General features: G+C 36.5%; 1 protein-coding gene across 9 annotated transcripts in view; it reads left to right on the forward strand.

Annotated features, from left to right (window-relative positions):
- Positions 1 to 26,500, forward strand: part of ARHGEF38 (Rho guanine nucleotide exchange factor 38) — a 129,947-nt gene that overhangs the window by 19,305 nt on the left and 84,142 nt on the right. For 8 of the 9 annotated variants that reach the window (XR_938749.4, XR_007057934.1, XR_938750.4 and 5 more), the window contains exon 2: positions 17,324 to 17,511. The exons of the other annotated variant lie outside the window; for it this stretch is intronic. Coding sequence is in view for 3 of the 8 variants with exons in the window: in NM_001242729.2 (NP_001229658.1) it covers positions 17,324 to 17,511 (188 nt within the window). In the remaining 5 variants the exon portion in view is untranslated. The remainder of the gene's footprint in view (positions 1 to 17,323; positions 17,512 to 26,500) is intronic. 9 annotated transcript variants of the gene reach the window in all.

Below are 26,500 nucleotides of genomic sequence, written 5' to 3' on the forward strand. Positions count from 1 at the left end.
GCGAAAGTACATTAGTCCTGTGTGTTGTACATGATATATAGTCAAACAGCCTGTGAGATAGAAGGATATCATTAACTATGAAGGTCATTCCATCATCAGTATAATGTTTGGAACAAAGATATATTCAGTTATGCTGTTTACTCTATTTATACTTCAACTCTGCATCTTTATAAACCTACCTTTCTATGTGATTTTTAAAACTCACAGAAGACTTTTTTTTAAGAAGAGAAGATCTGTTTTGTTTAAATTGCCTTGCACTCCAAATAAAAACTATTATGAATTTTAAAACATGACTTCTTCTGACATTGAAACTCTTCTTTTTTTTCCAATGACTATATAACTGTTAAAATTTTGGAAAAATATTTTAGTATGCCCAGGAAGCCTTGCTATGTCTATTCTATTTGCATTTGTTTCATAGTCTCATTAGGTTCATTTTCCCCCTAATTTTTCATTTGTGGTAAAATGCACATAACAACATTTACCATCTTAGCCACTTTAAAGTGTACAGTTCCGTGGCATTAAATACATTCATAATGTTCTGTAAACATCACCACCACCTCCAGCTCTCTTTTCATCTTGTAAAAATGAAACTCTGTAACTATTAAACAATAACTCTCTCTTCCCCCCAATCCTCAGCCCTTGGCAACCATCTCCACTTTCCGTTTCTATGATTTCGACTATTCTAAGTACCTCATACAAGTGGGATCATATGTATTTGCCCTTTGTGCCTGGCTTATTTTACTTGCCATAATGTCCTCAAGGTTCATCCAGGTTATAACATATGTCATAATTCCCTTTCTTTTTAAAGCTTGAATAATATTCCATTTTCTGAATATTACACATTTTGTTCATCTATTTATCCATTAATGGATACTTGGGTTGCTTCCATGCTTTAGCTATTGAGAATAATGCAATCCTACCAACAATACTCAAGAATTCCAATTCCAATTTCTCCACATCCTTGCCAACACCTCTGGCTTATATTTTAAAATATATTAGCCATCCTTATGGGTGCAAAGTGGTATCTCACTGTAGTTATGATTTGCTTTTCCCTCATGATTAGTGATGCTGAGCATCTTTTCATATGCTGATGGGACCTTTGTATATTTTCTTTGGAGAAAAATCTATTCAAGTGCCTTTGCTCATTTTTTATTCAGGTTGTTTATTTTGTTGTTGTTATTGTTGAGTTTTGGAGCTCTTTCTACATTCTGGGTGTTAATCTTTTATCAGATATACAAATATTTTCTCCTATGCTGTAAACTGCTTTTTTATTTTGTTGATAGTGTCTTCTGATGCACAAACTTTAAAATTTTCATAAGTCCAACTTTTCTGTTTCTTCAGAAAAGAAGAAAAAAGCCTGAGCCTTTGTCATATCCAAGAAATTACTGCCAAATTCAATATCATGAAATTTTTGCCCTATGTTTTCCTTTACAAGTTTTATATTTTTAGATTTCTGATCCATTCTGAGTTAAATTTTGTATGTGGTGTTAGATAAGGGTCTAACTTCATTCTTTTGCATGCAAATATCCAATTTTCCCGGCACCATTTGTTGTAAAGATTGTCTTTTCCCCATAAAATAGTCTTGGCACCCTTGTAAAATATCATTTGACCATATATGCAAGGATTTATTTCTGGTTCTTTATTCTGTTTCATTAGTCTGTATTTATGCCAGTACCACAATATGTTGATTTCCTGTAACTTTGTAGTAAGTTTTGAAATCACGAAGCATGAGTTCCTCCAGCTTTATTCTTCTTTTTCAAGATTATTTTGGCCTATTGTTGTCCCTTGAGATGCCATGTAAGTTTTAGGATGGGTTTTTTTTTTTATTTCTACAAAAAAAAATTGGAATTTTGATAAAGATTGCATAGAATCTGTAAATCACTTTGGGTAGTATTGACGGCTTAACAATATCAAGTCTTTCCGTCCATGAACATATCTTCTCATGTATTTATATCTTTAATTTCTTTAATAATATTTTGTAGTTTTCATTGTACAAATCTTTCTCCTCTTTGGTTAGGTTAAGTCATAAGTATTTCATTGTTTTTGATGCTACTGTGAATGGAAACACTTTCTTAATATTTTTTCAGATTGTTCATTGCTACTGTATAGAAGAAATGCAACTGATTTTTGTGTGTTGACTTTATATTCTGCTACTTTACTGAATTTATTAGTTCCAACAGTTTTTGGGGTGAACATTTAGTTTTCCACACATGAGATCATATAATTTTAGAACAGAGAGAATTTTACTTCTTTTTTTTCCACTTTGGATGCCTTTATCTCTTTTTCTTGCCTAATTGCTCCAGCTAGAATTTTCAGTACTATGTTGAAAAGAAGTGGCAAAGACCGGGTGCGGTGGCTCACACCTGTAATCCCAGCACTTTGGGAGGCCAAGGTGGGTGGATCCCGGGGTCAGGAGTTCAAGACCAGCCTGACCAACATAGTGAAACCCCATTTCTACTAAAGATACAAAAAAAAATTTAGCCAGGCATGGTTGTAGGCACCTGTAATCCCAGCTACTTGGAGGCTGAGGCAGGAAAATCGCTTGACCCCAGGTGGCAGAGGTTGTAGTGAGCCGAGATGGTGCCATTGCACTCCCGCCTGGGTGACAGGGCAAGACTCCATCTCAAAAAAAAAAAAAAAAAAGAAGTGGCAAGAGCAGGCATCCTTGTCTTGTTTCTGATCTTAGAAGAGAAGCCTTCAGTCTTTCACCATTAAGTATGATGTTTGCTGTTAATTTTTTATATATGGCTTTTATTATGTTAAGGCGGTTTCTTTCTATCCCTTGTTTGTTGGATTAAAAAAATTTTTTATTTCTATAGCTTTTGGGGTACAAGTCTTTTTTGGTTACATAGATTGATTATATAGTAGTGAATTCTGACATTTTAGTGCACCTATCACCTGAATAACGTATGTTGTATCCAACATGTAGTTTTGTATCCCATATAGAATAATGGTGTCCAGCTCCATCCAGGTTGCTGCAAAAGACATTATTTCATTCTTTTTTATGGCTATATTCCATAGCACATATATATATGCACACACATATATATAGCATATATATATATGTACACACATACACACACATATATACACACACACACACACACACACACCATATTTTCTGTATCCACTCACTGGTCAGTGGGCACTTAGGTTGGCTTCATATCTTTGCAATTGTGAATTGTGCTGCAATAAACATACAAGTACATGTGTCTTTTTCATATAATGACTTCTTTCCTTTGGGTAGATATCCATTAGTGGGATGGCTGGATCGAATGGTAGATCTAGTTCTTTAAGGAATCTCCATACTATTTTTCATAGAGGTTGTACTCATTTACATTCCCACCAGCAGAGTAGAAGCATTCTCCTTTCATTACATCTACATCAACATCTATCATTTTTTGACTTTTTGATAATGGCCATTCTTACTGGAGTAAGATGGTATCCCATTGTGGCTTTAATTTGCATTTCCCTAACAATTACTGATGTTGAGCATTTTTTCATGTTTGTGGGTCATTTGTATATCTTCTTTTGAGAAACGTCTATTTATGTCCTTTGCCCACTTCTTGATGAGGTTATTTGTTTTTTCCTTAATTTGTTTGAGTTCCTTGTAGATTCTGGATATTAGTCCTTTTTCAGAGACATAGTTTAAAAGTATTTTCTCCACTCTTGATTGTCTGTTTATTCTGATGATTATTTCTTTGGCTGTGCAGAAGCTTTTTAGTTTAATCAGGTCTCATTTATTTATTTTTGCTTTTTTTCCATTTGCTTTTAGGGTTTTAGTCATAAATACTTTGCCTAGGCCAACGTCCAGAAGAGTTTTTTCAAAGTTATCTTCTAGAATTTTTATGCTTTCAGCCCTAGACTTAAGTCTTTGATCCATCTTGAGTTTATTTTTGTATAAGGTGAGAGATAGGGATCCAGTTTCATTCTTCTACATGTGGATATCTAGTTTTCCCAGCACCATTTATTAAATAGAGTTTCCTTTTCCCAATTTATGTTTTTGTATGCTTTGTTGAAGATCAACTGTTTATAAGCATTTGACTTTATTTCTGGGTTCTCTATTCTGTTCCCTTAGTCTATCTGCCTCCTTTTGAAAGTACCATGTTGTTTTGGTAACTACAGCCTTGTAGTATAACTTAAAGTCCAGTAATGTGATGTCTCCAGATTTGTTCTTTTTGTTTAGGATCGCTTTAGTTATTTGGGGGCTTTTTTGGTTCCATATGAATTTTAGGATTGTTTTTGCTAATTCTGTGAAAAATGATTTTGGTATTTTGATGGGAATTGCATTGAATCTGTACATTGCTTTGGGCAGTATGATCATTTTCACAGTATTGATTATTCCAATCCATTAGCATGGAATGTGTTTCTGTTTGTTTGTGTCATCTATGCTTTATTTCAGCAGTGTTTTGTAGTTCTCTTTGTAGAGAATTTTCACCTCCTTGGTTAAGTATATTCTTAGTTATTCAATTTTCTTTTCTTCTTTTTTTTTTTTTTTTGCAGCCATTGTAAAAGGGATTGAGTTCTTTATTTGATTCTCAGCTTGCTCATTGTTGGTATATAGCAAGCAGCACTGCTGATTTGTGTACATTGATTTTGTAACCTGAGACTTTACTGAATTTGTTTATCAAATCTAAGAGTCTTTTGAAGGAAAATTTAGGGTTTCCTAAGTATAGAGTCATGTCACCAGTGAGCAGTGAAGTTTGACTTTCTCTTTTCCAAAGTGGATCCCCTTATTTTCTTCTCTTACCTGTTTGCTCTGGCTAGGACTTCCAGTACTATGTTGAATAGGAATGGTAAAAGTGGGCATCCTTGTCTTTTTCCAGTTCACAGGAGGAATTCTTTCAACTTTTCTTCCTCAGTGTGATGTTGGGGTTTGTTGAAGGTTTTTATCATAAAGGGATGCTGAATTTTATTGAGTGCTTTTTTCTGCATCTATTGAGAAGATCCTATGATTTGTGTTTTTAATTCTGCTTATGTGATGTATCGCACATATTGACTCGTATATGTTTAACCATCTCGGCAACCTGGGTATGAAACACACTTGACCATGGTGTATTACCTTTTTGATTTGCTGTTAGATTCAGCTAGCTAGTATTTTATTGAGAATTTTGCATCTATGTTCAAAAGAAATATTGGTTTGTAGCTTTCTTTTTTTTTACTTTCTTTCTTTAATTTTTTTTATTATTATTATACTTTAAGTTTTAGGGTACATGTGCACAATGTGCAGGTTAGTTACATATGTATACATGTGCCGTGCTGGTGTGCTGCACCCATTAACTCATCATTTAGCATTAGGTATATCTCCTAATGCTATCCCTCCCCCCTCCCCCCACCCCACAACAGTCCCCAGAGGGTGATGTTCCCCTTCCTGTGTCCATGTGTTCTCATTGTTCAATTCCCACCTATGAGTGAGAATACGCGGTGTTTGGTTTTTTGTTCTTGCGATAGTCTTTTTTTATTATATCCTTTCCTGATTTTTGTATCAGAGTGATGCTGGCTTCATAGAATAATTTAGGTAGGATTCCCTCTTCCTCTATCTTTTGTAATGGTTTCAGTAGGATTGATGCCAATTTTTCTTTGAATGTCTGATAGAATTCAGCTGTGAATCCATCTGGTCCTGGGTTTTTGTTGTTGTTGTTGTTGTTGTTGGCAAATTTCTAGTTAACTTCTCCCATCTCGCTGCTTATCGGTCTAATCAGGGTTCCTATTTCTTCCTGACTTAATCTAAGAGGGTTGTATGTTTCCAGGAATGTATCCATTTCCTATAGGTTTTCTAGTTTGTGTGCCTAGAAATGTTCACAGTACTCTCAAATGATCATTTTTTATTTCTGTGGTGTCAGTTGTAATGTCTCAAGTTTCATTTCTAATTGAGCATATTTGAATCTTCTCTCTTTTCTTGGTTAATCTTGCTAATGGCCTATCAATTTTGTTTATCTTTTCAAAGAACCAGCTTTTTGTTTCATTGATCTTTTGTATTTTTTTGTTTTAATTTCTTTTGGTTCTGCTCTGATCTTTGTTATTCCTCTTCTTCTGCTAGCTTTGGATTGAGTTTGTTCTTTTTTCTCTAGTTCCTTAAGGTGTAACATTAGATTGTCAATTTGTGATCTTTTAGACTTTTTAATGTGGTCGTTTAGCACTATAAACTTTCCTTTTAGTGTTCCTTTTGCTGTATCCCAGGGCTTTGATAACTTGTGTCATTATGATCATTAATTTCAAAGAATACTTAAATTTCTATCTTGATTTCATCAGTAACCTCAAAATCATTCAGGAGCAGATCGTTTAATTTCCATGTGTTTGTATAGCTATGGGGGTTCCTTGTGGAGTTAATTTCTAGTTTTATTCCACTGTGGTCTGAAAGATAGTTGATATTATTTTGACTTCTCAAAATTTATTGAGACTTGTTTTGTGGCCTATTGTATGGTCTGTCTTGGAGGATGTTCCATGTGCTGATGAGAAGAATGTATATTCTGCAGTTCTTGAGTAGAATGTTCTATAATATCTGTTAGGTCCATTTGTTATAGAATATAAGTTAAGTCTGTTGTTTCTTTGTTGACTTTCTGTCTTGATGATCTGTGTAGTACTGTCAGTGGAGTATTGAATTTTCCCACTATTATTGTGTTGCTGTCTTAGGTCTAGTAGTAATTGTTTTATGAAGATGGGAGCTCCCGTGTAAGGTACATATGAATTTAGGATTATGATATCTTCCTGTCGAAATTATCCTTTTATCATTATAAAATGACCTTTTTGTCTTTTACTGTTGTTGCTTTAAGGTCTGTGTGATCTAAGAATAACCATTCCTGTTCGCTTTGGTTTCCATTTGCATAGAATATCTTTTTCCACTTTTTTACCATGAATTTATATGAATCTTTACATTTTAGGTAAGTCTCTGGAAGACAGTTGATATTTGGTTTGTGATTTTTTTAATCCATTATGCCAATCTGTATATTTTAAGTGGAGCATTTAGCCACTTACATGTAACATTGAGATGTGAGGTATAGTTTCATTTATCATGTCATTGTTACCTAGATACTTTCAGTTTTTCTCATTATGTTACTGTTTTATAAGCCCTGTGGATTTTATGCTGTCAAGAAGTTCTATTTTGGTGCATATCAAGCCTGGCTGTTCTTGGTGTATAGGAATGCTAGTGGGGTTTTTTTGGTATGTTGATTTTGTATCCTGAAACTTTGCTGAATTTGTTCATCAACTGAAGGAGTACCAGGACTATGGGGTTTCCTAGATATGGAATTATGTCATCTGCAAACAGGAATACTTTCACTATTTGGATCCCATTTATTTCTTTCTGTTGCCTGATTGTTCTGGCCAGGATTTCCAATACTATGATGAGTTAGAGTGGTGAGAGCGGGCATTCTTGTCTTGTGCCAGTTTTTAAGGGGAATGCTTTCAGCTTTTGCCCATTTAGTATGTTGTTGGCTGTGGGTTTGTCATAGATGGCTCTTATTATTTTAAGATATGTTCCTTCAATACCTAGTTCATTGACAGTTTTTAACATGAAGGGATATTGAACCGTATCAAAAGCCTTTTCTGCATCTGTTCAGATGATCATGTGGTTTTTGTCTTTAGTTCTGCTTATGAGATGAATCACATTTACTGATTTGCATATGTTGAACCATCCTTGCATCCCAGGGATGAAGCCTACTTGATTGTGGTGAATTAGCTTTTTGATGTGCTGCTGGATTTGATTTGCCAGTATTTTGCTGAGGATTTTTGCATTGATGTTCACCAAGGATATTGGCCTGAAGTTTTCTTTATTTGTTGTGTCTCTGCCAGTCTTTGGTATCAGGATGATTCTGGCCTCATAGCAGGAGTTGGGGAGGAGTGCCTCCTCCTCAATTTTTTGGAATAGCTTCGGTAGGAATAATATCAGCTTTTATTCGTACATGTGTTTGAATTTGGCTGTGAATCCCTCTGGTACTGAGCTTCTTTTGGTTGGTAGGCTATTTACTACTTACTCAGTTTTGGAGCTCATTATTGGTCTGTTCAGAAATTGAATTTCTTCCTGGTTCAGTTTTGGGAGGGTGTATATGTCCAGGAATTTATCCATTTCATCTAGATTTTCTAGTTTGTGTGCATTGTGTGTTCAGAATAGTCTCTGATGATTGTATTTCTGTGAGGTCAGTGGTATTACCTCTTTTGCCATTGCCAATTGTGTTCATTTGGATCTTTTTTCTTCTTTATTAGTCTAGCTAGCAGTCTATCTTATTAATTTTTTCAAAAAAACTAGATCTTGGATTCATTGATCTTTTGAATGGTTTTCATGTCTCGATCTTCTATTCAGCTCTGATTTTGATTAGTTTGTGTCTTCTGCTAGCTTGGAGGTTGGTTTGCTCTTCCTTCTTTAGCTCTTTTATTTGTGATGTTAAGTTGTAAAATTGAGATCTTTCTAACTTTTCGATGTGGGCATTTAGTGCTATATATTTCCCTCTTAACACTGCCTTAGCTGTGTCCCAGAGATTCTGGTATGTTGCGTCTTTGTTTTCATAGGTTTCAACAAACTTCTTGATTTCTCCCTTAATTTCATTATTTACCCAAAAGTCATTCATGAACAAGTTGTTTCATTTCCATGTAATTGTGTGGTTCTGGGCAATTTTCTTGGTCATTAATTCTAATTTTATTGTACTATGGTCTGAGAGAGTGGTTGGCAAAATTTCAAGGATTTTTGTACATGTACTGAGCATAATTATATGTCTGATTTTGTGGTTGATTTCAGAGTATGTGCCGTGTGGCAATGAGAAGAATGTATATTCTGGTTTTTTTGTTTGTGTCTTTGTTTGTTTGTTTTTTTGAGACAGAGTCTTGCTCTGTTGCCTAGGCTGGAGTGCAGTGACACTATTTCAGTTCACTACAACCTCCACCTTCCTGGTTCAAGCAATTCTCCACCACTAAGCCCGGCTAGTTTTTGTATTTTTAGTAGAGGCGGGGTTTCACCATGTTGGCCAGGCTGGTCTCAAACTCCTGACCTCAAATGATCCACCAACCTCGGCATCCCAAACTGCTGGGATTACAGGCATGAGCCACCAAGCCGGGACTATTCTGTTTGTTTTTTGGTGGAGAGTTCTGTAGAGGTCTAGAGGGCATAATAGAGACTGTAAGGAAGAAGCATTATTTGAAGTACTCCTTGTCTGTTTAACTCACCCCACCTGCAGGAGTAGTTGGAGGCCAAGAACAAGTCCCGGTGCCCCGTAGCCCCATACAGGATTCCCAGCTTTCTCTGCCTTGAGCCCAGCATCTGTGGCTTCCTTCTGTCCCCTCTCAATGCCTTTTCTTTGAAGATTTACTAGGAGTGCACCAGTCTTCCCAGTGTTTTGGTCACTTGGTGGGAGATGTTTCTCCTGCTTGCATGTAGTTGGCCATCTTGGAATGAACTCAGGAATAGCATCTTTCAAAAATTCTGAAAAGCTCCCAGCTTTGAGCACTTCAAATAATGTTCTTCCTTACATTCTCTATTATACCCTCTAGACCTCCTAGTAAACATTAGTTGAACCTTCTTATTCAATCCTCAACATCTCCTAACCTCTCTCACATATTTTACATGTCTATTGCATTCTATAAAATTTTCTTGGCTTGTTCATTAATCTCTTTAACTTTGTATAATTTACTATTTAGTTCATTATACAACTCAACTATTTATTCAACTTAGCCATTTATTGATTAAACAAAATAATTAAATTTTAATTATTATGAGCTTTTATTTTAAGATTCTGTATTATCTTTTAAAATCCACTTGATCATTTTTATATTCTCTTGTTTCTTGCTTATAATTTCAAACCATTACTTGTTTTTTAAACCTATTAAGTACCCTTTTTATATCTCTAATAATTTCAGTAACTTAAGACTTTGTGGATATAATTATGCTATCAATTTTATTTTCTGCATCTGACTCATGGTATCGTGTTTCCGTGTGTGTTTTAGGATTTCTTAAAATCTCGTATTCCTATGGCCGGGTGTGGTGGCTCACGCTTGTAATCCCAGCACTTTGGGAGGCCGAGGTGGGTGGATCACGAGGTCAGGAGCTCGAGACCAGCCTGGCCAACCCAGTGAAACCCCGTCTCTACTAAAAATACAAAAAATTGGCTGGGTGTGGTGGCGGGCGCCTGTAATCCCAGCTACTCAGGAGGCTGAGGCAGGAGAATCACTTGAACCAAGGAGGTGGAGGTTACAGTGAGCCAAAATCATGCCACTGCACTCCAGCCTGGGCGACAGAGCTAGACTCCGTCTCAAAAAAAAAAAAAAAAATCTCGTATTCCTTGCAATGTAGCTGCAAGGAACAGTTGAAGCCTGACTTGAGTTTCTATTCAATTTCATTAAGCTTTGTTCTTAATTTCCTTTATTCTATTTTCTTTTGGCTTATTGTATTTTTTTTTTTTTACTTATTTAGTTAAGAGTCAAATCATTTTCACTCTTGCTTCTTTTCTTGTATATGAATTTAAGCCTATAAATTTTCTGTAAGCAGTGCTTTACCTACATTCCACATGTTTTAATTTGTAATATTTTTCTTATCCTTATAACAGATATCTTCTATTCACTTTAGTCATTTCTTCTGTGACCCATCAGTTATTTTGTAGGTTTTGGTTCTCTATTAATTCCAAAACAAATGAGTCCTAACATTTTATTTTTGTTATTTATTTCTACATTAATTTCATGGTAGTTGTGGTTCTCAATTTACTAATTCTTTGAAATGTTATAACTTAATTTATAATGTATTTCTTCAAGTGTCCTTAAAAATACTATGTAATCTCTAATTATTGGAGTAAATATTTTCTGTCCTAACAGTCTATCAGTTACTGACAGTTATGTTTAAAATATCACTATTAAGACTGATTTGTCAAATTCTACCTTCAACTCTTTCACTTTTTGCTTCACATGTTTTGAAATCATGTTATTTAGTACATACAGAATTAGAATTTTCATATCTTCCTAATGAATGGGACACTTTATCACTATATAGTGCCCACTTTTATTTTTGCCTTAAAGTCTATTTTATCTGTGTAAAATAGCTATATCTCACCCTTCCTTTAATTAGTATTTGCTCAGTATATATTTTTGTACTTTCATCTTCTTGTGTGCTTATGTTCTCTACTATAAATGGCATATAGTTGTTGTTTTTTGAATACAGTTTGATAATATGGTCACTTGAGTTATGATTACACATAGATTTGAATCGACTGCCTTATATTTGTTTTTCTCTTTCGGTTTTCTCCTTTCTTCATTTGAACTGCTTTCTCTCCTCTACTGGTTTTGAAATTTTACATGCTATTTTATTTTAATGGTTGGCCTTGAAATTTTAACATATATCCTTAATTTAAAAACATCTAAAGTTCATTAATGTCTTTAGCTTTTCTGCAATATCACAAAAATGTTTAAATGTTTAAAATACTTAGAAGTCTCCACAATCTCTCCCAAGCTGTCCTGTCCACCAAATCTCTTATCCTCTCCCCAGCGTCCTCCTACCTGGCCACACATTGCTCTGCTTCCTGTTCCTTAAATAGGCCATGCACACGCTCACCTTAAGGTTTTCCACTGACCAGTTCATCTGCTAAAAACCACCTCTCCCAGATATCTGCATGACTCTCTCACCTTTCAACTCTATTTCAGGCCTTTCCTGCCATCTTATTTAAAATTGCACACGTTTTAAGCTCTTCCTAGCAGCTTTCATAGCATTATTTTTCTCTATATCACTTATCACCTTTTAGTATACTAAATAACTTGTTTAAATTATTTATGTTCTTCTTCCCCAACTAGAAGTAAAGTTCCATAAGGAAAGGAATTTTTTTTTTATTGCTGTATCCCCAGAGCCTAAGATGATTTTGGGCTCATAGTAAGCCCTTACTATTTATTTGTTAAGCATTCAATAATTTCAGATCTCAAATCCATATGAGAGCCAGTTAGTGTCCTTGAATTGTTAAGGGATGCTATTTTTTTTTCTATTGATCACCACCAAGGCTGAGACAAATCATTTTATTGATGTCTCTTTCTTTGGAGCATTATTTTTACTTAGTGTGTTTCCTTTTCTGATCCTTTATCTGGATATGTTTCCTGAGTATGTTCCCTTTTCCCACTCTTGATTTAAAAATTGCCCAATAAATAAATATTTTTATCTATTTATGGTTCAGTTCATGAAAAACAAATAGGAGAATAGATACTGTGCAGACAACAGCAGTGTCTGACACAATTATGCTGTTGTTACAAAAAAGATCCCCACTATATACTGTTATAGTTGCAAAAGCAAGTTGCAGAAGAATATGTATATGAGCTTGTTACTGTTAAAAAATAAAACAAAAAACTGAACTTCTGTAAATATGTGTATTTGTATGTGCATGGAGATATTTTGAGAAGCCTATACACTACACTAGAATACAACCAATAATACAGTAAAAATAATATTACAATTAATAAATAGGGATTGCATCTAATAATAATAAAACATTTTCAAGATATCCAGTATAATGCCAGGCACTGTTACAAGTGTTTTACAGACATTAACTAATTTAATCTTCGAAATCACTTTATAAGGCTTTACTAACGTTATCCTTAACTTACAGATGAGAAAATTGATACAGGAAGAGCTAAGTAACTTGTCTGAGGTAATAGATCTAATAAATGGTAGTGGTGGAGTTTGAACCCAGGCAGTCTGGCTCCCAAGGCTATGCACTTAAACCTCTACTATATCTACATCTCTCTCTCTATCTGTATCTATGTCTATCTATCTATAGCTATAGCTATTTCTATGTCTATCTATATATAACTTAGATAGATATTACAATTACATATTATTTTATAATTTACAAAGAAAGAAAGAAAGAAATTACCTCTCCTTAAATCCACCCCAAAATGGCAGTAGTAGTAGCAAAAGCAAGAAGAAAGGAAAAACAGGATAGGATAAATTCTAAGCAAAACGTGGCTATCAGTGAAGATTGTCTTCAGTCCTCCCCCAACACCCCTTTGCCTTTGGGTGCTGTTGCACTTCTCTAAGAGATCGAGGTTCTCCCCACGCATATACCCAAGCCAGATAAACTGCTCAGGATTCTAAACCCCAGCTTTGTTCTGACTTTCCTCCGAAAGCAGCATCCCTATTTTTTTTCCTCTTCCTCTTCCAACTGAACTAGCTGTCCACCCACTTTAGAGTCATGCATTTTTCTTGACAAGTTGGTAACCACAAAATAATGGGATAATTGTTTGCTCTAGATGGTGGAAGAGTTTGAGACTGTAGAGAAAGTAACCCTATTTTTCCCATTCCCACAGAAATAGTTAACATTTGTATTGTTTTAAAGATCTCAAGGAGCTTCCACATGGAGCTGCTCATTTAATTCAGTCTTCATGATCACACTGTGATGGTTTTCATGCATAGTTTACAGGTAAGGAAACCAAGGCTCTGTGAGGATAACTATTAGTTATTAGTCTACTGTGTTCTCACAGCTGAGTGGCAGAGCTGATCTCAAGTCAGATTATCCTTTTCCCAAACTGCAACAACCTCTTTTTATATAAACTTCCTTGGCCAGGAATCTCCACATATATTATTAATGAATTTTGTGGCTAGAATAGTAAAAATTCACATCACCACTGGAAAAATAAAGCTTGAGTGTGAAAGAAATACAGAGTGAAGTCAATTACATGGTACTGCTTTAATATACAGCTGCATATTTCTGTTATAGCAATCTGAATATCCTTTTAACCTTAGTTTCACTTTGGCTTTGACATTGTATTTTATTATATGCAAACTATTGGGAAACATTTATTCTTAAAACAATTTTTCCTTCTTTCCTAAATAGCCCCTCCGTTGCTTTTTTTTTTTTTTTTTTTTTTTGAGATGGAGTCTCCTTCTGTCACCCAGGCTGAAGTGCAATGGCACTATCTCGGCTCACTGCAATCTCCGCCTGGTGGGTTCAAGTGATTCTCCTGCCTTAGCCTCCCAAGTAGCTGGGATTACAGGCATGTGCCACCACACCCGGCTAATGTTGTATTTTTAGTAGAGATGGCGTTTCTCCATGTTGGTCAGGCCGGTATGAAACTCCTAACCTCAGGTGATCCACCCACCTCGGCCTCCCAAAGTGTTGGGATTACAGGCATGAGCCACTGCGCCAGGCCCCCTCGGTTGCTTCATCCAGAAATAAAAGACGGGCTATAGCTGACTGCTGATTTGGGCGATATGTGTTGGCAATATTGTTGAGTTCCAAATACTTTTATATATAAAAGCTAAGTATAACTAAAAGATAAAATGTTTAAATGCAGAGAAAGATCTTACAAAAACAAAATGTGTCCACAATGCATTGCAGAGTTTGTTGGTTTAAGAAATGCAAACATAGAAAGTGTTTAGAAACCTGACCATAAAATGATGCAAGTGAAGTTTTTGTTCCTACAATAAACTTGAGTCAAAAGAGCAAACAAAGATATCTCATAAGGTTGCTCAACTGTAAATTCTCTGAGAGATTTTTACACCTGAGGGAGAAGTTGAGTATTTTCACTGACACTTTATTTCACCCACCTTGCCCCCACAAATTTGTTCTCAACAAGTTGTTGAGCAGTATTGGAAAACCTAAGCATTTTTTAATTGACAAAATCTGATGTAGTACATTTTAAAGTGCAGCAACTGAAACGTCTGTGAAGCAGGTTAAGTTAACATTGTGATTGAGTCCTGGAATTTAGAACTAAAAGGAACCCAAATGCATGTTTTAGGGATATTCCTTTGTCGACGATCAGGAAAAACTTCCTTCTCCTTGCTAGGATCCCAAATAATTCATAGATTAATTTTATAAGGCATAGAAGGTTTAGAACCTGGAAAAGCAATGTCAGAGCAGTTTTTCATCAGCATCATTTTTATTTTCAAGGAAACATTAAGTGATAATTGGGCAGTGTCCATACTGGTTTGTCAGCTCTCTTACGCATGAGATTTCCTCCTGTGCTCTATTTCACATACTCCAGGAGTAAAGGACGTCCCTCACACCTCTCTGCCCTCAGTCTCCCCCACCCCCACCCAATCATTTCACTATGTATAATACATCAAAATATTATGTTGTACATCTTGAATATACACATTTTTAAAAAGAAAGGGCCACAATGCAGCCTCCTCACTGCAGCTCCTCTCATAAGGTGTCCTGTCTTCCTCTTTCATATCCAAAATAATTCATTGTAATGACACGTGATTGTAACTTGCTTTTTCAAATCTGGGGCACTGAGAGGCAGGCTGCTTCTACTTTCCAATGCAAATATTACAAATTAGGCTGGTGCAGTGGCTCACACTTGTAATCCCAGTGCTTCGGGAAGCTCAGGTGGGAGGATTGCTTGAGCCCAGGAGTTTGAGGCTGCAGTGAGCTGCAATTGCACCACTGCATTCCAGCCTGGTTGACAAAGTGAGAACCTGTTTCTGAAAACAAAAAACAAAAAAACAAATTAGCAAGCACCCCCAAATTCTCATAATATAGATCAGGATTGGAGGGCTACAGGATATCTCATGCATTCATTCTCTCTCCTTGAATAGATTATCTGTTCTTATATAGCTCATGTGGATTATGATTTATGATTATGATTATTATTTTGAGACAGAGTCTCATTCTCTCGCCCAGGCTGGAGTGCAGTGGCACGATCTCGGCTCACTGCAAGCTCCACCTCCCGGGTTCATGACATTCTCCTGCCTCAGCCTTCAAAGTAGCTGGGACTACAGGAGTCCGCCACCACGCCCGGCTCTTTTGTTGTATTTTTAGTAGAGATGGGGTTTCACCGTGTTAGCCAGGATGATCTCGATCTCCTGACCTTGTGATCTGCCTGCCTCGGCCTCCCAAAGTGCTAGGATTACAGGTGTGAGCCACTGCTCCCGGCCTCATGTGGATTATTTCCTTAGCACTAAATAGCCCAAATCTCATAAAACCATGTGGTTTTGGATGCTATTTGTCAAAACTTCCTGCTTTCCTGATGAAGGAGGGATTGGTAGGCGATAAATGGTTCCAAACATACTCACCTGTGGGTCTGGATTGTCCAAAGATCAACCTAGTATAGCTTCCAAACTGATGCTGGAATTACTCTCCACAGATGTTTGAATATTGAGTCTCTGCCTTAAATGCTGAAGTTAGTGGACCAGAGAGAGAGCTCATTACTTTTTAAAGTGTCTGTTCACATTCCTGGGGCAGTCTCTTGACATCACACCATTAACTCTTCTGCTATATTGTTTCTCCAGTTGTCTTAGCTTTGTTCCCGGAGTCAGCCAAGAAAACACTGTTTATTTTCACTTTCATACATTGTGACCTGTACATTTATTTTTTACTGTACAGACTCTTTATAGGCCCTTTTGTAAAGTCCCACATTCTCAGGGAATGTGTCAACATTGAAGATGTCTCATATACCAGTTACTAGAATCATGTTAACTTTAAATGAAATATAATTACTTCTGCAACTGCAGAGACTAAGATGAAAATTAAGCTTCAAGCTTGAAGCAAATCCATTTACACACACTCTTACATACACAGACTCACACACTGCCCTGATGTTTATCGCCACTTTGATTTCATGGTCTGTGGTCTGGTTTGTGGCTTCCAAAATTTTACATTGCTCTGGGGAGCTCGTCCTTGAAGATACTTAGCTTTCTTACTTGAATACTTCATATAAACTTTTGCTATGTGTGAGGCTTCCCATTTATCTCATTATCTCCCCAGTACTGTGACTTTTTAAATTAAAACTTTCTGTTCGACAGTTCAAGAATTTTGAAATAACAAGATATGCTTGGTATAAAAGATGAACCATGAAAAATTTCAGTTGAAATTTATTTAATCCACCACTTCTTCACTCCTCATGGATTCTGATAGTGAATTGAAAAGAAAAACTCCAATCATGCAATTGTTTTCCATTTCATTGAGATTTGGATATTACCCACTGAGAATGAGAGGTAATTGTTTTTAATAGCAGTGACAAAATTCATTTTCATTTACTAATTAAAGGCATTTCATTTACTAATTAAAATTCTTCCCTTGATTTAAAAGCAAATGTGAACGGAAGTTGTGAACTGTTTTTTTTATACATTTGATCTCCAGGCTGAATACCGGCTTTATAGGCTAAGCTACAACAATGGGATATTTTAAAGAAGCCACGATAATTGAGTATCATTTAACTCACTTGTTAGAGGAAGTTCGCTCCCACTTTTCTTCTTGCTTATAGTTTTGTAGGGGAATGTCCATATATCACTTCCTAAGAAAACATCATGAGGATACCTTCAGCCTTTTTCCTTGTTAACAAAGTCCTTCGAAGGCGTTGTTTGTAATGAAGGAAAAAGAAACCTCAGCAGAATGCCTCACCTGTATATGTTTTCATTTAACAGAAAAGATGACTCCACAGGGTGAGTGTTCTGTAGCTGAGACCTTAACCCCAGAGGAAGAGCATCATATGAAGAGGATGATGGCAAAGCGGGAAAAGATCATTAAGGAGCTGATACAGACAGAAAAGGATTATCTCAATGATCTAGAGCTGTGTGTTAGGGAAGTGGTTCAGCCCCTGAGAAATAAAAAGGTAAATATATATTTGAGATTTTTTTTTCTCTCCCATATCATAAATAGGATCACTAGCACCATGAAATTGAAGCACTCAGGTGTATCAATGGGATGATGTGCCTTTCTCCCCAAAACAGCACTGTTCTCAGCTCTGGGGTTACAGTTTAGTACAAAACAAAGTCCTGCCCTTGTGGAGTTCACTTTCTAGTGCAGAAAAGGAGGAGTCAGACAATACACAATAAATAAATAAGCAAACAAAATTAAGATATGTTATATGGTGTGAAGTATGGCTGAGGAAACTAAAGCAGGGAAAAGGAATGAAATAAGGGGACAAGGCCGGGTGCTGTGGCTCATGCCTGTAACCCAGCACTTTGGGAGGCTGAGGTGGGAGGATCACCTGAGGTTCGGATTTCAAGACCAGCCTGGCCAACATGGTGAAACCTCATCTCTACAAAATTACAAAATACAAAAAATTAGCTGGGCATGGTGGCACACGCCTGTAATCCCAGCTACTTGGGAAGCTGAGGCAAGAGAATTGCTTGAACCCGGGAGACAGAGGTTGCAATGAGCCAAATCGCGCCATTGCACTGCAGCCTGGGCAACAGAGTGAGACTCTGTCTCAAAAAAAAAAAGAGAGAAAGAAAGAAAAAGAAAGAAAGAAGGAAGGAAGGAAGGAAGGAAGGAAGGAAGGAAGGAAGGAAGGAAGGAAGGAAAGAAAGAAAAAAAAGAAAGAAAGAAAGAGAGAGAGAGAGAGATGGGGACAAACGAGTGGTCATTCTATTTCAAATAGAGTGGCAAATGAAGACTTTTCCAGTGGAGGACATTGAGCAGAGAACTGAAGGAGGTAACAGAATGGTCCAGGCAAAGTGGAATACAAGGGCAAAGACTCCAAGGAGTGATAACTCATCATTAGGGTTGTAAATACACAAATCAAACAATATAGAAAAACAGAAGCTAGAAAGTGAAAATGATCAGAAATTCCACGGTCAAAGAAAATTACCATTAACACAATCAGACATATCCCCTCAGACATCTATTTGAACACTTACATATACATATACAAGCACATATATTTTTACATAAATGTGATCAAAACTACAAATAATATCTTGTAACATACTTGTTTCATCCATAAATCTGTTACATGTATCTTTTTATGAGTACTAATATTTTTCAATATCTGTCTACTATTACAGTGGTTGAGATGTTTTGGATGTTTGTTTCCTTATATCCTTAGAATAAATTCCTAGAAATTAATTGTTAGGTCAAAGGGTATGCATATTTAAGATTTTGAATAAAATGGACAACTGCCAAACAGAAAGTCAATATGATTTTAATATTCATTCCTATTAATAATGATTCAGAGAGCATTTTCTCTGCATCCTCTTTAATGCTGAGACTTGTTGATTTCATAAATGTTCTTTTGATTCCTTCTGATAAATATCTTCTCATATATTCATTGGCCTTTTCTGTTATTCATATCCATGTTTTTTGCTGTTTTAAAAAATGATGGTTTAATATTTTTCTTATTATTTTATAAGAACTTTCTGTGTATTAGAGTTATTCTTTTTCCATCCCACATGTTGCAAATAATTTTTCTGGTAAGTCTTTTGGTTTCTAACCTTGTTTAAGATGTATGTTTATTTTGTTTTTGCCATGTTTAGTCAAATATATCCAACTTTATTGATTCTGAGACATATTTTAATATTACCCATGATTATAAAAGCATTGCTAGCCTGTCATGCCCCCAACTATTTACAACATTCAGGAGCAGATTTTATATTTCTTAACACAGTACTCTTCTCAGATTTTTTTGTTTTGTTTTGTTTTGTGACAGAGTCTCGCTCTGTCACCCAGGCTGGAGTGCAGTGGCGCTGTCTCTGCTCACTGCAAGCTCCGCCTCCCGGGTTCATGCCATTCTCCTGCCTCAGCCTCCCGAGTAGCTGGGACTACAGGTGACTGCCACCACACCCGGCTAATTTTTCTGTATATTTAGTAGAGACGGGGTTTCACAGTGTTAGCCAGGGTGGTCTCCATCTCCTGACCTTGTGATCCACCCGACTTGGCCTCCCAAAGTGCTGGGATTACAGGCGTGAGCCACCATGCCCGGCCTCAGAAATATTTTTTAAAAAACCATCTGGCCTACATATTAGGGAAAACCAGTATAGGTCAAGGCACTTCTGACACAAAAATTGTTTTTTGGTCTAAGACAATGTATAAAGAGGAGTAGCAAAGAAGGCATGGAAGCCTTTTCTTACACAGGAAGTCATCTTCAGTTTGCCTCATGACTTTTATTTAATGCTTACTATATGTCAGATCTTGCTCCAGGCACTTCATTAGCATTCTCATTTAATCCCCCACAGTTCCCACGCCAGAATTACCAGACACTTTCTGAAAACCTGGAAATTTCTTATTCATGATGTAAGAGTAGAAGTAATATTGATGGTCGTGATAAAAATTTGCTCTTTAGTGTCATTGCTACGTATATAAATGTTTTCTGCTGTGTTTTCTTTATTTTATTAACATATAAACCAGATGTATTTGATATAACTGCTATTCTGGCAGATATCAATGGTTACTAACATGTTCATTTACATACTTATTCAAATGTTGATTTTAAATGCACATAGCATCAGACTCTGTCACTACCTTTCCTTATGGTACAGTCCTCCCTGTCAACTCTTATTCTTTGAAAAATTTGGAACCTAGCCCACTGTGTCTATGTATTCTCACTCTCTCGCTCTCCTCCTTAATTCTGACATCTTTTTTAGGTAATTTCAATATTCATGCAAATAACCCATGCAACATTCGGGCCTCTCAGTTCTTTCACTTTTTCATATCCAACAATCTTTCCTCAATCCCATTCAGCCACTCACGCCAGGGTCATAACCTAGAACTTGCCATTACCAACAACTTCATCCCCTCAAAATCAGAATTTCAAGCTTACTATTCTCTGATGCCCAAGCCTACTCCCACTGGTACGATTTCTGACAACCTTCTGATGGCACCGAGACCTCCAAACTATGGACATTACTACCATTTCTCTCTTCATCGGGCCCAAAGATGCTTTAATTTCTATGGGTCCTTCATTATAATCGCTCCTTGCACACGACCTCAATTCCTTTTTCTCTCTTTCTTTCCATTTACTTCCCTGCAACAACTTACTCGAGTGAAGTTCAATTTTTCGTCTACTTCACACCTTTACCTGTGCAGCAGAATTAATCTCTTATAAAATTCATGACCACTTTCTACTGGGGCCCCCAGTAATGTTTCTGAGGAGATTCTCTCACATTCTTTTCCTCACATGTCAAACACCCCTTTTTCTTCTCTCAGCTTATGCCCTTTTCCATCATTTCATAAAGAAACTAGAAACAATAAGATGTGCACACTCCCAACACCAAATCTACCAACTTACTGCATCTCTACCTATATAAGTTGGCTTCCTCCTATTACCGGAAGCAATGGTTCCCGCTTCTAATGAAGGATGACCTCTCTCTGCTAGTGCAGTGGATTCTATCCCCTCAGACTGAAAGGTTTTACTCCAGTCTGTGTCCTTTCTCTCTCCTGAATAATTAGTTTACCCTCCTTATGGAATCATTCATAGCACTATTATCTACTATCTTAAAAACCAAAATCAAACACAAACAAACCAAAAAAATTGTTTTCCTCGATCCTAAAGGAATCATCTATATTCATTGTCTATTTTAAAATTAAATATAAAATATTTACTAGGTATAAGAACATTTGTGACTAAAACATGTTTCAAAATAAGCACAATTTATCAAAAATCTGTCCCTGCGATTGGCTAATGATCAATATAAAAAACAGTAAAAAACACGCCCAGTTGCAGTGGCTCACACCTGTAATCCCAGCACTTTGGAAAGATCAGCACAACCAGGAGGATTGCTTGAGGCCAGGAGTTCGAGACCAGCCTGGGCAGCATAGGGAGACCTCATCCCTATTTAAAAAAAAACAGCCAAGTGTAGTGGCTTGCTTCTGTAGTCCAGGCTACTCAGGAGGCTGAGGTGGGAGGATCACTTGAGCCCAGGAGGTTGAGGCTGCAGTGAGCCATGATCACGCCACTGTACTGCAGCCTGAGAGACAGAGCAAGACCCTGTCTCCAGAAGAAACAAATAAACAGACAGACAAAAACATCAAATATACAAGAAAAGTCTTTCTTTGAATTCTTAGTCCACATTTGTATCAAATGGACTAAGTTTACCTTATATGAAAATGTTGCCAATTTAAATAATCTGCTACATTGGTGAGTCAAACTAGCCCCGCTAAAATGAATGTCATTGATAGCTGTATTCTTATATATTTTCTCCAATTCTTTTTTGTGCTTTTACTTTTTGTTATTTTTCTTTACTTGTTTTTGGCTTCCTATGAAACTCTTATAAGCAGTTCTCAGAATTGGTGTCTTAGACCATGCCAGGTAAAACTTTTCCATTATGGTAACATTTATGGTCGTTTATTTGGCACATTTGGCTTTTGCTCTCAATACTGTGAATTACAATTCTCAAAATTCTAACTCACATTTTCTAGGTTGTTTTATTTGAATTGTTTATAGGTTGTTGATTTTTCACACTTTGACCTTGTTATTTAGCTATCTTTCAATGCTGTCTGCTCTCTGCCTTCCTCATTGTGGACTTTAATTTCATTCTATTAGTTCTCTCCACTAAGGTAATAGCAATTCTCTTAAGGTTCTCAGAATTCTCATGTCAGATCTGCCTTTTTCCCACTTCTCAAAACTTTTAACCTTTGATTAAGTAAATAAATGTTCGGGTACTCATATGACTCTTATCAGCGTTTATATGAGTGCTGAGGTAGTTAGTTGACACCACCAGTTCATTCAGTTCACTACCTTTTCAATGTTCGTTAGTTCTTTCCTGTTCTCACTTCCCTTCTGGACATTTAACTACCAGTGTCTTTGAGCACAAACCACCTGTCATCACTGTCAAAATGTGTAGATTAACACATACAGTTTTCAGATAACTATAGCAATAATCTGTAAACCAAGCTTAGCTAAACCTGGGGCAACATAAATATTTTACAACTACAGGTTAAGCTAGGAGAGAATTTGGGTATCATCGGATTCATCATCTTTTCTCTATACAAAATCAAACTCAGACCACTCCCAGTAAAAACAAAACAAAACAAGTCATTTTATTTAAGTGAAAATTGGATGAAGGAAGTTGAAAACTGAGGAAAGTACCAGAAGTTCCTGGCTTAACTGAGTCACCTTGTATGAGTGAATCAGTGTACAAATGAGTGATTAGATCTAGCCCTTGACTGACAACTGTTCTGTGACAATCGTGCTGTAAACTTTAATCTTAACTTCAAGGCTTTTCTATGTCAGACCTTTACCGAACTGATAATACATCAAACTCAGCAGTTACACATCTTCTTTAATAGCAGCACTGTGAGAGGTTTTGCAAAGAAGGCAAACGTTATCCACATCAGTTAGTGTTGAAACATTTAGTGGGAAAACAGGTTCTAGTTATTTATTATCCAAACAGGGCAGTGAGAGATACTCTATGTTTTTGGCTATAAGTCAAAGTAAATCAAACTAGAGTAGACTAATCTAACAATGGAAAGGGCAAAAAGTGATTGAAAGGAATAGCTGGAGGAATTTGAGTACTGTACTTATTTTTATTTTTCTTTGTTTTTTAATTATTTTCAGTTGCTAAAATTCACATAGTGCAAATCTACCAAAGATCTCAAGGGGGCTATAGAATTCCTCAGCTACTCGGTTTCCTCCCCTAGAGGCAAACTCCATTACCAGCATCTTTTTACCCATCCAATGATATTTCAAGTGTATGTGTTTGAATGCACACTTGGTAGATTTTATTTCTATAACAAGAAAGTTATGTGTATTTATTTTGAATTTACTCATATTTGGTTTAATCATGTGCCTTATGCTCAAAAATTTGTGTTTTCTAAAAAATGGTTTAAAATATATATAATTTTGTATTGACAGGAATTCAGTTGGAATTTTCTGTTAAAATTTTGATATACTATATGGCAACATTATATAAATAATTTTCACTAGAAAAAATATATAGAGGAAAATAATCACCTGTAGTCTTGCCACTTAGAAATAAGCACAATAATTATTTTGGCTTATTGTTTATACAAACATACTGAAATATTTTCTGGAATAGGAATTATACCATACACAGTTGTCCCTCAGTATCTACGGGGCACTGGCTCCAGGATCCACCAAGAATACCAAAATACATGGAAGCTTAAGTGTCTGACGTAAAATGCAATGGTTACATTTACACATAACCTACACACATCCTACTGTATACTTTAAATCATCTCTAGATTATTTATGGTACCTAATACAATGTAAATGCCATCTAAATTGTTGTTATACTATATTGTTTAGGGAATAATGATAAGAAAGAGAGTCTGTTCAATACAGATGCATTTTAAAAAATATTCTTGATCCACAGAGGACTGATTCCATAGACATGGAACTCAAGGATTCAGAGGGTTGACTGTATGCCATTATGGAATATTTTCCCCTGATGACAACTATATATTTACACATTTTATTTTCAGCCACAAATAACAAATATGAAATTGAAAATTTAAAAAAACTTATTAAAATAAGGGACCATAAATTTGATGTTCATGCTCTCTCTCAATTCAGAGTCCTTGAATGTAAAATGGTGCCTATTACCAGTGTTATCAGTCATACCTAGGTTAGCAGTGGGCTGTTTCAATGTCAGGATGGTGGGGAGTATATTGAGCAATGGTTCTGTGTGACATCCTACAAAATCTCTCCCTCAGGGTCCAAAGTGGGTGAGGAAAGCCCTGGGATAGGGAAACACAAAAGAGAGGGAGTTAGGGAGGGAAAATTCTTAGCTGGCCGCTTTTTCAAAGGAGCAAGGGAGGGAAGGCACTCCAGGGCTCAGGCATTCAGCTTCCTGCTTGTGCCCCCCACCCCAAACCAAGTTGCTGTAGCGTCAGCCATCATACCAACCCTGTCAGAGAAGGCTGCGTGTGAGGAGGGCTCACCAACTCCCTGAGAACACAGTATAGATCCAAGTATCCCTGAAAGGAGACAGGGAGGAGGGGAATATAGATGTACTATAATAATAAAAATACTGTTCAAAGACCATAATACAATGAAAATTTATATATAATAAAGAGATAGCCAAAGTCCCATTGACTTCCTATGCATTTTAAGCTATATTTACTGCTAAAGTATTCAGTGAAACTTGTATATCCCTTTGCTGTGTTTTTCATGGCTCTTCCTTCACCAGAGTGAGCCCATTGCCGTCCTATACAACAGGAACTGCAGCTTCAGCACGTCATGGGAATCTTCCTGAGTTCCATATCCTGCCCTCTCTTCCGATGTTTTTAGCTGGTTGGGCATCCCTGGTGACCGTCATGACACCTCAAAGCTAGGTTCTACCTCTATATCCAGCCCCTGGCTGCCTTGCTGTGGAACAGCACTCCCAGAAATTATACAGTGCATAGCGGCTCTGCAGCAGCCCTGATGCACTGCTTACTCGGCTCTAAATTTTAGTGTCACTGCCTAGATGCACTCTCTGAGATGACCCTCAGTTCTATCTGAATACTCTCACCACCCTTCTCTCCCAGCCCAGCTCCTCAGACCCCCAACTTGTCCATAACAGGAATTCAGACAATGAAATGTAATGAAATTTTGCTACTTTCATTGAGCAGAGGACAGAATTACTGTTACAGTAGCTCACTGAAATACAAGATAAAAGGACCAAGGCAAAAATATTTTATCTAGTAATTATCAAAATATAGCCAGTTTTCCTAGATAGATAGGTGGATAGATAGATAAATGAAGCTTCTCAAAGTTATTTGCTAAAATTTTGCCCACATAACAAATAGAAGAAACCAGATGTAAGCAAATATCTTTGGGAATGAATTTTCGATGGTCACAGAGGACTCTTGTCAAAATTGTTTTCTCCAGCTGTCACCTTCACTAAAAGACATTTACTGTTTCCAGGAAGAATGGTCTTTCATTTTTGCTTAATAGGCAACCATGGAATTCTCTCTCTCTTTCTTTTTAAATCACCCAGCTACCCTTCCCATCTCTGTTCACTTCCAGAATTTTCTGATTGTAGTCTGGGCCTGAAAACACATTTCATCTTGGCTCACTGACCACAACTTTCTTAAAGTTGGCTACTCTCTAAAACTCTGTCTCTTCCATGAAATTGCCCTGAACTCAGTGGAGTTAAGGTATTGATTTCTCACAGACATGTCTTATTTATGCAAACAATTGCCTTATGCCATTTATAATATGTTCTACCCCACAACATCAAAATCCAATGCACACATTCTATTGTTTTGCAGGATGTTAGCCTTGGGGGAAACTTGGTAAAGGGTACATGGATCTCTCTGTTTCAATTTTTTTTACAACTGCATGTGAATCTACAGTTAATTCAAAATAAGAACTTTAATTAAAAACATAATGCCCTTATTTTCTCTATCTTCCTCCCTTTCTCTCTTTAAATTATCCTTTTAAATACACATGTAAAATTTTACATGTAAGGATAAAATTTTTCCTCTGATCCTTTACCTTGTTTACTCTCCCAAACTTTCCAATTTTTTTTTTAATATATTGTGTTTTCAGAGGGGTAGAGACTACGTTTAAGAATAAGGGTACACATTCGGTTGTTTGGAAGAAATTTTATGATGTATAAAACAACCTCCTATGTATCTTGGCTGTTTCTCACGCTATGCTTGAAACACCAGAAATCCATGTAAACTGTAAAACAAACTGATGAAAAAGCCAAGTCCCTTTCTCCACTTCCATCTCCTATTCGATCCAGCCCCACCCACTGTAGAGTAAGGCAGTTCCTGAGGTCAAACTCCTCAGTCACAAGACCTCACAGACTTTAGTGAGTACAGATATCCAAACCAGGCTGATAATTCCAAAGTAAAAGATGCCCTAAAAGCCAGAGAAAAACAGGGATTTTGTTCACTACATTAAATAAAAATCTGAGAAAACCAGAGCA

This window comes from Homo sapiens, chromosome 4 (assembly GCF_000001405.40).
Source record: "Homo sapiens chromosome 4, GRCh38.p14 Primary Assembly".
NCBI classification, from domain to species: Eukaryota; Metazoa; Chordata; class Mammalia; order Primates; family Hominidae; genus Homo; species Homo sapiens.